Below are 15,264 nucleotides of genomic sequence, written 5' to 3'. Positions count from 1 at the left end.
AGATAGTTACTGGTTTGACCTTTGACTCACGGTTCCATATGAGTTTGGTTGCAGGCAGCTCTTCTGGTATTTCTTCATCCACTGCTATTGTACCATCATGGTAAATGCTATGTGCTTATTTCTTGAAGTTTTGTTTAAATTTTTTGTTTTGTTTCCAAATTTAAAAAAAAAAAAAACTTGCTCCAAATAATTCTGTCAAAGGATTTTCCAGGCACTACACTATTTTTTATTACCATTTTGTTGATATTCATCGTAGATATAATGATCAGTCTAGTTAGGACAAAATAGAGATTGAATAAATTAACTTTTCCAAGTTTACAGAGTAAAAATGAGCAGATCTCTGCCTGGTTTTGTGAAAAAGCCTTAGCACTGGTAAATAGAATATTTCTATTCCTACACCATTCTTTCAGTATATCATCACTGAAAACAGAAAGATAGGCACACAGATTCTTCCCCGTAGTAACTCATAGTGCACTAGGTGAAAGAGATGAAGTATGTATTAAAAGTAGAATGTGATGGCATTTATTATTCAGATAATCCCAGGATTCTAGAAGAAAACAAAGAAGAGTGACAGTCGAGTTAGGGTGTGAACTTCCAGAGGAGCATTGCTTAAGCTGAACTTGAGAGCATTGTGCAAAAGCACAGTAGTCTGTTAAGAACTAGAAATAACCTAGCTTGTGCCACTTCGGGAGTATTAAGACATAAGCCTAGAAAGGCGGACAAAGGTTAGATCTTAGACTGTCTTGTATTTTTCTCATTCCTGTTGATTACCTACCTCAAAATTGAATATGTTTTTCCTCCTGCCTAAAACAAAACTACTTAAGGGCAAAAATTTAAATTCTTCCTTGGTGTATGTGCAAACAAGGTTGAATATATTCATGCCTACCTTATTTTGGACTAGGAATACAGTAGTGTACTTTCCGAAGGCTTGCCTGAATAGTATATAAGGTGGAGGCAACTGACTAGTTAGGTCAGTATTTTTTAGAAACTCTTAATAGCTCATACTCTTGATGCCAAAAGCAGCCCTGATTGTTAAAGCACACACCTGCACAAGAAGCAGTGATGGTTGCGTTTACATTTCTTGGGTGCACAAAAAAAATTCTCAAAAAGCAAGGACTTATGCTTTTTGCAAAGCCTTTGAGAAGTTACTGGATCATAGGAAGCTTATAACAAGAATGGAAGATTCTTAAATAACCCACTTTCTTTGGTATCCAGTAACAGTAGATGTTCAAAATATGTAGCTAATTAATACTAGCATTGTGAACGCTGCACAACCTTTTGGTTATTACTAAGCAAGTTACTACTAGCTTCTGAAAAGTAGCTTCATAATTAATGTTATTTATACACTGCCTTCCATGACTTTTACTTTGCCTTAAGCTAATCTCCAAAATCTGAAATGCTACTCCAATATCAGAAAAAAAGGGGGAGGTGGAAATATATTTCCTGTGATTTTAAGAGTACAGAGAATCATTCACATCTCTGGTTAGTTCATATATGTCTAGTGTGTAATAGAAGTCAAGATGAACTCTCAAAAAAAAATGATTTCGAAAATAGCTGTGACATAATCCTTAATTGTTTTGAGTTTTAAAGCATAGTTTTTTTTAAAGAAACTTCAACAGTAATAGGTCTCTCCTCTCTTATGTAAGGAAGACAGAATTAGTACTTCCAAGTTGAAACTGGAAATGAAAGAAAATGATTCATTTTATACTTTGCAAGCAAAATAACCCTGAAAAGGAGAATAAAGACAAAATCACTGAAGCCACCCTAAAAGACCAATTATCTTGCTTCAACCCAAAAATATTTATTAATGCTCTCCTTCTGTCATTCCTTTCTACCTCCTCTTCTCTTTACTACCCTACATTCATATTCTTTGTATCTTCCCCCTCTTCTACTCTCCTCCCACAAAGGAAGGACAAATGATTTAGATTCTATGATGTACCAGCTGTACCACACTCTGCATATTTTTCTCTAAATATGCTATTCTTTCTAAAGCAATTTGCACCACTTCCTTCTGACACTTCTTAGGAAAAATTCCACCATATATTATTCACTCAGAGTTCTGTAAGTAAACTGGTCTAAAATAAAACTCCATTAATTTCTTTAGGCTTTCATGGCTGAATACTCACAATTCAGGAAGTCTCCTAGCAACTGCCCTCTACTGAGAGCACAGTCATTTTTTAAAGAGTTAGTAATAACAATAACTCTTTTAGTTTCTCAAGTAAAATAGCTATAATGTTGGGCACCACCTGAATCATACCATCCATATTGGGTACTTTTTCTCCCTGAAATTCTTCTTATATCTCAGAATTTAACGTATGTATCTTAAAGGTCATCTTTTATCAACTCTTGCTTGGTGCATCAGAAAAGCAAGCATGTGAAGCAGTCTCTGACCTCTCATAGAACCTCCTTTAAGGATGGATAATACCTCCCGAAAACTATTTATTAGGTAATAAGTATCATTAAAATGTTTTCCTTAAAATTCTGTTAAAATATATTTTCCTGTAAATGTCCCCCTTTATTCATAGCTCTGTCACTTGAAAACAAAAAGGTGAAGACTAATTCCTCTTCCACATATGTTTGAAAGAGCTATGTCTTTCCACTTCTCCACTTCTCAGTTTTTTAGGATGTTTTAGACCTTTTCTCTCTCTTCCAGTAAATTTTATCACATATTCATTTATCTTCTGTAAATAGATTATACTTATTACAAAACTTCTTTATATTCCTTACAGTTTTATTTCCTACTTTAAAAATTCCATGTAATAGTATAGTATGTGACCTTTGTAAATATTCTACTTAAAGAAACAATTACTCTGTCTGTTACCTTTGCAATAAACCTCTTGGTATTTTAAATAAGATGACCATAATATCAGACCACTCTGATGTTTAATGGGTCACCCAAATACATGGTATATGTTCTTTTTAGCAAAATAATATTTTTAAAAATTTCCTTTGTCACTTAGAATTTATTGTTCACTAGAATTTTGTTTTGTTTTTTAAATGGTAAAGTGACAGTGACATTGGATTTTGTGGATTGTACCAGTGGTTTAGTGTTGTAGTCTCAGATGAAATAGATTCTCTTGGCCTTGAATTTCAGTGGTAGTCAGAGTTTAACAGCATAACAGATTTTTAAATTCTTTCATATATTTTCACATATTGGCTTTATTAAGCACTTCCAAGGTGATACATATAGCCCAATATATTAGAAAAGTGTTAACTTCTTCCCCTTTTTCTATATAAACCAGAAATGTTGAATCCAGGATAATTTGATTGTCTTCTCTGCAGGGACAGCATTAGTTATTAGTTGACAAAGCCCCTTGGCACATTGTAATTTAAGGTTTAAAATCTTAGCCTCTTCTTTCCATAACCCCTGCTCGACATTTGAAGAAAAAATTGTCAGTGAGAGAACTTTTATACCTTTTACAGAGAATTAGTTCTTGTGTTTTCTTTCCTTAAAGGGAAGTAGTAAGTGACAGGAAAAGTAACAGAGACATTGAAGTCGAGCGGAAAGACACTGGACTCAGATGAGAAAGCTGGATTTCAGTCACAGGCACCTAGCACTGATTCTACCTAATCTGTCTTGGGCAAGTCACATCCATCTTTGGTCTTCTATTTTGGCCTCTGTACCATAGTAGCATTATATTAGATTGGTATTTCCAAAAGTATGCTTTAAAATATTGTTCTCTTTTCTGTGTCACGTGAATAGACTCTGTGACCAAATACGTTTGCTAAATTCTGCAACTTGTATCCCAATTCTCTTGAAGATTCTCAATGAATTTTAGCATATTAAAAATTCTGTGAAGTCCTGCCATCAAGTAAGTGATTTGATTTTGATTAACAAATCTGTTTTATCATGGAGCCTTCTTCTTAGAGTAATACTTAACAAAACACCTAAAACTAGTGTTTAGTGGAATATACTCAGGATGTGCTATGTGTGAGCATATCTTATTTTTATTTGAAAATAAATATCCTAGAGTAAAGCCATGAAATACTTTAGGAAATGTGAGTAGAAACAATGCAAGTTTCTGAATGAGTATTAGTTGTGATGACTGAAATTGTTATTATTTTTGGTAAATCTACAAAATTGCCTGATTTCATCCAAGTATCAATAAGAAAATCAAATTGAAGACATTGCGAATATGTAGAAATTATCTGAATAATGAATGGGATGTTAAAGCATATTCATTGGTTATACCAACCTTAGATATCTTAGAATCAAGACCTGTAACTCTCTGAGCATGTCTCTTTCCTACCAACAACACATTGCTTTCATCTTGAAAAGATCTTTTGCCTACAACACCTCATTTATTCTTAACCCCCATCTTTGAGAGGTAGTTAGGACAGTCATTACTGTTATTCTTATTTTTCAGAAGGAAAGTTAGAACTCAGTTAGAACTTAGACAAAGGGATTTCCAATATTACATAACTAGTAAATTGTGAAATTGGATTCAGACATAGATTTTGATGTCCTGAAGTTAAATTCCTTTCACTGGTTTTGTCAACATCTCTGATTCTTGATTTTGGTTACACATTTGAATCTCAAGATAAGCTCTTGAACACTATGAATACCCAGTCCTCAGTCAACCCTGAATAATCAAATCTGGATTTCTGGGGTAGGGATCATGCTTCATTTTATTTTATTTTTTTAGGTTTTCCAAATGATTTTAATGTGCAGCCGGGTTAAGAACCACCATCCTACCTTGATCTAACCACATCCTAGCCCATTCTGCTGCTACCACTGCATCTCCTAAGGACAACTTTGGTGGTAGTGCTCATTCTATCAAGCCAGTAGAGTATAATTTAGCAATTACCTGCAATTGGCTAAAAAAAATTTAGAACAGTTCACTCTCAAAATTCTGTCCCCTGAGTTTAAAGTCACTTCTGAAACAACAGGATAAAACCTGGACAACTGTTTCTTGAACTCTCTTCTAATTTATCTCAAATGTAATAAGTTATAATACAATGTAATTGCTATGACATATTTTATTTAAGGGTTAGAACCTCCTATTGCACTCTTTTTTATTTTGCTTATACTCAGTGTAATAGCCCTCTTTATAGAATCTGCTCTGTAAGTATCATGTTGCTGTCATTTTAAAATTATCTTAATAGCACACTCCAAAGGTTGCCACTAATATATTTCTCTACTCTAAATTACATATATATTACTATGCTAATATATTGTTTACATTTTAAAACATATGAAAATGGAAATAGAAATATAAATATCCATGTGATTAATATTAATAGAAATGCAAATGTTTTTCTCTTGTACCCAGTGGATTGCCCTAGGGTTCATATCATACTGTCCATTTTGGTGACCTCTGCTAGAGAAGAAATTTGAGTAAATCAAAACAATCACTCTTGCTTGCTCTCTTTCTTTATATGGAGTAAAAGGTTAAGAAATGAATTAATGATTAATGAAGGAAGAATAGAATCACAATGATGGAGCTTTGACTGTGTACCTTATAAACTAATATGATCTGGTGCTAAGATTCTGTACCAGCTTTTCATCCTTATATCCTGTGCCTGGCACAGAGTGGGTATCCAATAAATGTGTATTGTTGCTTGAATGACCTTCATTCTTATTGCTTTACTCTCTGACTCAACACAAATGTAAAATAGAATGCAACACAAATGCTTCATTCTTTCTATAAAATAGGGAATTTTGATTGCTTTTCCTTTGGTGTTCTGCGATCATTTTTTTAAAACTTAGCTTAATACCTCAACACTTATTAAGTGCCAACTATTTATATTGCATCAGCTAGGGGAATAGAGATGAATATGATCTAATCAGTTGCCCTTGAGAAGATCATTCTTGGAGGTGGGAAGAGGCACTGTAGGAATAAGTGTTTCACAATATAGGGATTGATAATTTCTACATAAAGAGCCCTGAACAGCAGCAGGATCAACAAAGCATGATGTCTGATTATGGCTGTTTGATTTCTATTCGTATGCTACTTTATATCATACAGAGTCTTTTCAACTTCATGGTATTATTCTTTTCTCATAAACACAAATCTACAAATAAGTATAATTCCCATTTTACATGTAAGAAAATGAATTCTTAGTAAATATGTTAACTGACTTAAATTCGTGAAACTAGGAATTAAAACCAGATCTGATCTGATTCTATGTTCAAAATTATTCTCCCTGTATCAAGTTGCCTTCGTTTCTAGAAACAGCAAGGTTTAACATATGAATATTATTTCTAGTAAATTTAAGTCTATTCATTGGCCTTGAGAAATTAACTTTCTTTTTTCCCATTCCGATTTTCATTACTCATGAGATGCTGCTGTGTGTGTCTCATAATGACACCACTGTACTTAGCTTCTGTTCTTTCTTAAAGTTTTTGTTCTTGCTCATTTAGAGTTAATTTTGCTCTATGACATACATATTCATTTCTGAAAAGATGAAAAACAAGAAAATATTTATTATCCAAAGATAACCATTACTAACATGCCTTTTATTTATTAATAGTTATTATTTTGAATACATTTTATTATAATAGTTAATTTCAGAGTACTATGGAGATTTTAATCCTTGGTTTATGCATATTTATTTTCATAGCATTGGCATTACTACATTGGATTGGTCTGCTTTTTAATTTATCTTACAACCTAATGATCAGCCACTTTGTTTCCTGTTTAAAAGTTAACTTTAGAGTTTTCTTACCAATGATTCTAGAGTTCCACATTTCCTTGTACTATGCCTTAGGTAACCTTAATGTCTGTAATCACCTCCCAGTTCATCCCACCATACTGATATTCCTGCAAGAACATGGAAAGGTCAGTATCTTGCCATCTCTATATTGCTCATTCCTCTTTATTATATTCTCATGCCCCCACACCTCCCACCTTTGTATTATTACATTTATGTTTGCTTACACACATTTGAATTCCCACAAAACTTGCCATGTCTCCTTGCAAGTCTCCTGGCACCTCTTTCTTCAGCTGGTTTGCCTTCCTTTGTCTGCATCATGTTCAAATTCAGTGCTCCCTCTTCTGTTTGAGAGAATGAGTCATCTCACCTCCAGCCTCTCTTTCTTGGCCTCAGTCCTCTTTCCTATTAGCAAACACACAGCCAGGCTGCACATATGTCCCCGTCTGTGTGGTGCACCCCACAGAGAGCACTTCAATCAAATTCACATGATTTTTTTCCTTGAAACCAGGCCAGTTGCTCAGTGTTCACCATTATAGGCAGATATTTGATGCAAATGAGAAAAAAAAGAATAAAAAAGACAATGACAAACAATGACAAGAGCAACTAGCCAATCAGTGTAATGTCCCTTCTCATTGCATACAATCAGCTCCAGCTGTAGGCCCTTTATCTTGAGAGTTCATAGGATAATGCACACACATAATTAACCCAAACAAACTCACTTTTGTGGAAAACATTTTGAAGACTTCAGCACAAAAGAGCACTTTTTGGTCCAAATCCGGTACTATTCTGAATTTTTAAAAAGACCACACAGAAGCTTCATCAGCAGCACCCTAATTAAACTCATCAGTTCACAGATGTTTATAAGAAAATGATCAGCGAAAATTTTCACCAAGAAATCCTGCTTACAGATGATGACAATAGTATTAGTGATAAGAGCTAACATTAAGAACTGTATTGTGCCTGTCACTTTATATAGGCCAACACATTTTAATCAATAGCCTTTTGAAGCAGTAACTGCTATCATTCCTGTTTTGCAGATGTCAAAACTAAAGCTTACAAGGTTAAACAAGTCTCCCCAAATCACACAGCTAGGAAGCACCAGGGTCTAAGCTTCAGTATGCGTGACTCAAAAGCATGTGCTTTTAATCACTACATTCTGTTGCCAGTATCATAATACCACCTGTTCTGTGACTGAAATCTAAGTAAATTTTTCAATATTTCAGTCACCAAATAGAAACTGAGTGAACTACCACTATTTTAAACCACTATTATTATTCTCCCCAGTATCCTCTTTCCCCATTTCTCACCACTACCTTTCCCTCAACTTCTGCTTTATGGTCTAAAAATTTTCCTCGTGGTCTGAAGACTCTGTTAGCAAAGTCACTCTATGAAAATGTTGTTGAAGGTAATATTTTCTGGATCATTTCACTGCCCACCTTAAAAATGGCAAAAGGTGCAATTTAATAAGCACTGACCACATTTCTCTTTCACTGATAATCTAATGAGCTGTGTAGTTTCCATACTCTGAGGAGAGAGACAATGAGCCCTTGTCAGAAACAGAGCTTTGCTGTCACTTATAATCTAATCCAGTTAGTTTCTAGCCTTTGGTTTTTATTTTTAATTATTATTGACTTCTCATTCCCCCTGTGTTATGCCACCAGATACTGTTTCTCTTCTGTTCTCTCAGTATAGATGTTTTTGTGGGCCATAGTCACAGTATTAAAAGCTGCCTTAGGCAATCTTTTTTTTTTTTAGAGGAAACACCCACTTTCATATACATTTTAAACCATAGAACATCACATGTAAATATTCATTATCGGCCAGGTGTGGTGGCTCACGCCTGTAATCCCAGCACTTTGAGAGGCTGAGGTGGGTGAATCACCTGAGGTCAGGAGTTTGAGACCAGCCTGGCCAACATGGTGAAACCCTGTGTCTGCTAAAAATACAAAATTAGCTGGCAGTGGTGGCATATGCCTGTAATCCCAGCTACTCGGGAGGCTGAGGCAGGAGAATTGCTTGAACCCGGGAGGCAGAGGTTGCAGTGAGCCAAGATCACGCCATGGCACTCCAGCCTGGGCAACAAGAGCAAAACTCCATCTCAAAAAAATAAAAAGAATAAAAAATAAATCATTATCTAAGCACAAGTGGTAATGGCCCTAAAATAAATGATTAATCAAATGTATAAGAAGGTTTTGAAGAGACAGTGAGATCAGTGAGATATGTTAAGCTGCTTTCCATTTTACTTATTTATTTTTTGACTGGTCAGTGTATTAGGATGATGCAGTATACTATTACCACTGGATTAAGCAGGAAATATAATGATTCCTCAAGCTTTTATAATACTTTGGAATTTATTCTACTTTTATATGTAAACTCGGAAAGAAACCCTGTTCTCCTAAAGGGAGAAAGAACAGGTGATATGAGCCCTAGCTTTTAATGAATCAACATACAAATATAATCTCATTTTCATCTCGTAAGGAGGCTTGTGATCCAATTGATGGCTTTGACAATTGGAGGCAGTGTGACCTCTTTGTTGCAAGTTAATCTCTTTAAAAAACAGTTTTTCTCATCTGTAAAATTTGCCTGATTAATAGTATCTACTTCCTGGAGCTCTTCTCATGATAAGTTATATGATTCATGTCAAAATATGTGACATAGGACTCCTAAAATATATGGCATGCAAGTATTAAATAAATGTTAGTTATTATTATTATCGTGTTATTTCTGTATTATTAAGGGCTGCCATTATCAACTATGTTCTCCATACCTGAAGTTCCTCTACATTCTCCCTCTCTGCATGAGTCTATTCTTCTATCCATTCATTCCACAAACAATTGTGTATTATTAATGTGGGTTTCATGAAAGCAAGGACCTTGTCTATCTGGAAGAAGTAGTATAGCTGAGTGGTTAACAGCATGGTTTCTGGAGCCAAACTGTCTAGCTTTGAATTCTGCCTCTGACACTTACCAGATCAATGACTTGGGGCAAGTTTCTTAACCTCTTGGAGACACACTTTTCTCATCTGTAAAATAAGGTAATTATAATAGCTACCTCATAAGTTATCGTGAAAGTTTGATTGTGTTAATATATGTAAAATACTTTAAAATAGTGCCTGGCATGTAATATGGGCTATATGTGTTTACTATGATTATTGATTATCATTTTTATTATTTATCATATCTCTAATATCTGGCCCAGAGTCTGACACATAACAGGTATGCAGTAAACATTTGATCAGTGAATAAACAAATGCCAGACACTGAAATGAAAAAAGATTTAAGGGAACATGTCTTATCTAGAAGAGAAATGTGAGAGGTGCTAGAGAAGCTTACGGCTTAATGGAGAACTCACAGCCAGCATTCAAACACATCAGTCAGGTTCAATTCTCTCCAGTTCCACAGTCCCTAACCTGGGCTACATCACCAAGGATTAACTAGCACATGGAACTTACATAGCAACATGGAGCAAAATAATAAAGATTACGAATAGTAGTGCTGCAAAGTATGGTATAGCTGAAGTGCTAATTAGATAGTATAGATAATGTGTACTATAGGAATTCAGTCCAATGCTTTTGGGACATTTATTTTAATTTTACATTATACCAGTGGAAAGTAATTAAACAATTATGTCATTAAAGAAATAGTAGCCAAATAAATTCAAACATATATGGTCAACTAAGTTTTGACAAAGAAAATAAGAGAACATGATGAAGAAAGGCTAGTCTTTTCAATGAATGATACTGGGAAAATGGAATCTCCACATGCAAAAGAATGAAATTGGACTCTAATGCCATATGCAAAAATCAGCTCAATTTGGCTAAAAGACCTAAACGTAAAACCTAAAACCATAAAATTTCTAGAAAAGAACATAGGGGAAAAGCTTCCTTGACCTTGTCATTGACAATGTTGTTTTGGATATCACGTTAAAAGCTCAGGCTACAAAAGGAAAAATAAATAGGACTACATTAAATTCAAAATCTTCTGCAAAGCAAAGGAAACAATCAACAAAATGAAACAAATTGGGAAAAAATTGCAAACCATATATCTGATGATAGGTTAATAACCAAAATTTATAAAGAACTGATACAACTCAAGAGTAGAAAAACATTAACAGGATTTTAAAAATGCACAGAGGACATGAATAAATATTTCTCCAAAGAAGATGCAAAAATGTCCAACAGGTATGCAAAAAGGTGCTTAATATCACTAATCATCAAGGAAATGGAAATCTAAACTGCCATGAGATATCACTTCACAACTGTTAGGATGGCTATTATCAAAAAGATGAGAATAACAAATGTCAGTGAGGATGTGGAGAAAAGGGAGCACTTGTACACTATTGATTGGGATGCAGACTGGTGTAGCCATTATGGAAAACAGTATGCAGGCTCCTAAATAAATTAAAAATAGATTTACCATGTTACCCAGCAATCTCTGGTCTTGTTATATACCCAGAGAAGATGAAATCACCACCTTGTAAAGATATCTGCACTCCCATGTTCAATGCAGCATTATTTACAATAGCCAAGATATGGCAACGACCTTCATGCCTGTCAGTGGATAAAAGGATAAAGAAAATGTGGTATATATGCACAATGAAATATTCAGCCTTAAAAAATGGGAGATCCTGCCATTTACCACAACATGGGTAGACTTGGAGGGCATTATGCTAAATGAAGTAAGCCAGAACAGAAGGAACAATATTGCATGATCTCACTTATATGTGGAATCTTAAAAAATAAAAGTCAAATATACAGAGATAGAGGATAAAACAGTGGTTACAGGGGGAGGTGGAAAATGGGGAGATACAGATGAAAGGATAAAAAGTAGCAGATATGTAGGATGAACAAGTCTAGAGGTCTAATGTGTAACATAAAGACTATAGTTAATAAAATTGTATTATATTAGGAATTTTGCGAAATAAGTAGATTTTAGCTGCTCTTGTCACAAAAAATTATAACTATGATGATGGATATGTTAATTTACTTCACTATAGTGACCACTTTATTATCTATATGTGTGATATAACATCATGCTGTGAACCTGAAATATACACAACAAAATTTATTTTTTTATATAGTAGCCAGATACGGATAACCTAGGTATTTGAAATACTTCCTGAATTAACGTTTATTCTAATTTCCTCAAAGTTTAAGTCTTTTTAGAGAGATTATCTTAAAATCATTTCAGAGAAGTGGTGCAGAGACCCACTGTAATGCCACTGCCATGAAGTCAGTGTATCATTTGTATCACAGGCTTTTCCATGCAATAAAGAAAGAGGCATTTCTGTTAACACAATGACAATAGGGTACCCTTGAACTTGCTCACCTGAAAAGACGTGTTCTGAATAGACTCATATTAAATGACATTTTGATGAGAACCATTTTAAAGTGAAAAAATCAAGGTTTGGCGAAGCTATAAGGAAATGAGGGCTCTCATATAATGCTGGTATGAGAGTAAACCGGTTCATCTTTCCAGAGGGAAACAGGCATTTTCACACTAGGTATCAAAAGCCCTGATAATGTTCATATAGTTTGGTCCAGCAGTTTCACTTGTATGGGTAAATGTGTATCAAAGAAATATTATCAGAGTTGTGCACAAATATAGAAAAAGGATTAGTGCAACATTATTTATAGTTTTAAAAAATTAGAAGCAAACTAAACATGCGCTAGTAAGAAACTGGTTAGATCATTATACTGTAGTCATGCAACATAATGCTCTGCAGAAAACAAAAGTCATCTTGTTAAACTACATTGCTGCTACAAACAACTAGTCACTCTAGGTTTAAAAAGCAGGTTCCAAAACAATGTGTATAATAAAGTCAAAATTGTTTAAGGCAATATATCTAAGTAGGGAGATGATGAATGATTTTTATTTTCTTCTTTTTTAAGTTTTCTTCCACTAATATGTGTTACTTTTCTATCATAGAAACTATAGCATAACAAAAAAGGCATTTGACTCCTTATTTTCCTTCCCACAAATACTATTCTGAATTCCATTACTGTATATCACTTCCTCATTTAAAAAAAGGCAGAAGCAACCTTATTTTATAGAATCATTGATTGTACTTATCTGCTTTGACTAATGCATTTAATTCATCTGTTATGTCAAGGATACTGGACAGTAATTATCACAATTTATAATTCCAGGTATCTTCTTGCCTGAATATTTTTCTTCTGCTCCATAGATTTAACTCTAATATTGATCTTTTTCACCCTTTCAGGTAAACAACTACAGTTTAGAAGAAGTAACACACGAAGAGGCAGTAGCAATATTAAAGAACACATCAGAGGTAGTTTATTTAAAAGTTGGCAAACCCACTACCATTTATATGACTGATCCTTATGGTCCACCTGATATTACTCACTGTAAGTACCATTGTCATCTTCAAATAGCATGCCAGACTTGCAGAACTGGAATTCTATAAAACTGTTGACAAAGTGTTCTACTTGTACCTTCCCTCTTGGTTAACTTCTGGAAATACTTCAGAGGGAGTATCCTAAACTCCACTCCTATGTTGCCTTGCAGGCCCTTACCTCCTGTTTGAAGATGAGATCTCCTAATGAGTTGGCATGCCCACCATTATGGAAAGGCTTAATGTTGAGGACAGTGTGATTAAAGTAGTGTATGGGCAATACATTTTGAAAGGCTATTTCTCAAGCTCCTAAAGCATGATCACTCTCATGCCATCATATTATTTCTTCCAACTTCAGATCTCTGTAGTAGTAGATTAGAAAAGAGACTGGCAAATAGACCAGAGGTAGCTCTATGATTCTTCCTGAAAAAGGGGATCTTGCAATTGAATGGCGAAATTATGATCCTCAATCACCATCACATAGCTTTTACTTTACTTGAATTTGTTATATTGGCAAGTAAGCTGGAGAAAATTATCAGTCACTATGGCAATAGAGGTGAGCTGGAAGTGGGACTTCTGCAGCAACAACTAACAACTAATGAGACTATGCTGGGGTCCTCAAATTTCCACTGTTGCATAAGCCTCATATGTTCTCCTCTTCTTAATAGGTCAACACGAATCTTAACTAAGTTTCTGTCTTTGAAGACTAGATTTAGAAGCAATTTACTTTGTTATGTAAATGTAAGGGATAGTTGTGTCAACAGTAGTAAGCTTGCTCATTCTGAAATGTTGAGAGTCCATTTGTGAGACTGGAAACTTGGAACGTCTTCAGAACTGGCCATTAATTAGTACTATGGTCTCAAGCAAATTGTTCAAGTTCTCTCAGACTTACATGTTTCTCTTGAGAGAAATGTGTTGAACAATTTTATTTCCTGCCCATTGCATTAGCTATTGCTTTTCTTAATGATGATTCTGAAACAACTTACCTCCAAAATATGTATGTTTTCAAGCTGGCAGTAAATTGAGATCAGACTTACCTTAGAATATGAAAGAGTTTTAACTTTCAGAGTTTTTCAAACTGGAAGAATGTAGCAAAATCAGCCCTGATAGTCTGTGAGCCACTTCATGCAGGGCATATAAGGTCAATGTCAAAGACAGAAAAGGGAGAAAACGACTCTAATAAACCTAACAAATAAGTATTGAGTAATTTCAGTATGTACAAGGCACATTGTAAGGTAATATGTGGGATGCAGAGGAGATAGAATCATGGCCTTCAAAGAGCTTTGTTGGGAGGAAGGCTAACTCAGATATATAAATAAAAGCAATATTTGGCAGAATAAGAGGTATGCATATGCCATGGGAGAGGTGAATATAAATGTTATTTGGGAACTCAAAGAAAAGAGATACATCATCTGTCTTTGGAACATCAGAAAAATATGCATAGGATGGCATTTCAGTTGCATCTTCAGAATGAGATTTCAACATCTGAGATGGGTTAGGTAGGAGAGGCAAATTCTAGGTAGATGGTACAGTGGAACAAAGGTACAGATGTCAGGAAGCACAGCCTATGTTTGCGGATGATAGGATATGTGTTGGGGGGTATTAAAATTGATTGATCTTGCAAGAATGGCAAAGAGGAGAGTTTATACTATATTAAATACATAACAACAATGGAGAACATTTAAGTAAGAGAATAGTGTGGTCAAGCTGAATTTCAGGAGGTTTTACCTCATCTCAACATATAAAATGGATTTGAGGAGAGAGAAAGGAGCAAGAGACCCAGTTAGGAGGTGTTTTTAGTCACCTAAAAGGGAGATACATTAGGAAGGAGGAATGAAAAAGAAAGGCCAGAGTTCTTGGCCTTTGTGGGATGGGAATAGAGTATATTTTGGGAGAAAGTCTCACAGGAGAACCTGATCCTTAGGAGGCTTTTACTCTCAGTAATTGGATATTAATTATGTGAAAACAATGTGAGCTCTGAAATTAGAAAGCTAACATTTTATTTCAATAGAAAATTAATCATTGTTCTGAAAATATGTGTGCTGGATCTCTTCTCCAGTTCTTCTCTTCACCAAATTAGACTAACTGGCATTACAGACTTAACTATTATTAAGTCTTTCCTATCCTAAAGGTCACCATGTGCTTGTATATATTAAATGCAAATAAGCTGCAACTCCCCCCTCTGGGAGGACAAGAAAAACCTTGGCATGCAGCAAAGCCTTTCTGTTTTTAATACATTTTTCTGAAGTATAG

At 34.7% G+C, this 15,264-nt stretch overlaps 1 protein-coding gene across 52 annotated transcripts in view; it reads left to right on the top strand.

Annotated features, from left to right (window-relative positions):
* DLG2 (discs large MAGUK scaffold protein 2) overlaps nt 1-15,264 on the top strand; it is a 2,173,362-nt gene that overhangs the window by 1,650,026 nt on the left and 508,072 nt on the right. For all 52 annotated transcript variants that reach the window (NR_165353.1, NM_001351274.2, XM_017017256.3 and 49 more), the window contains one exon: nt 12,880-13,024. Coding sequence is in view for 51 of the 52 variants with exons in the window: in NM_001351274.2 (NP_001338203.1) it covers nt 12,880-13,024 (145 nt within the window). In the remaining variant the exon portion in view is untranslated. The remainder of the gene's footprint in view (nt 1-12,879; nt 13,025-15,264) is intronic.

This window comes from Homo sapiens, chromosome 11 (assembly GCF_000001405.40).
Source record: "Homo sapiens chromosome 11, GRCh38.p14 Primary Assembly".
In the NCBI taxonomy this organism is placed as follows: Eukaryota; Metazoa; Chordata; class Mammalia; order Primates; family Hominidae; genus Homo; species Homo sapiens.
This window is presented reverse-complemented; position numbering and strand designations above follow the sequence as displayed.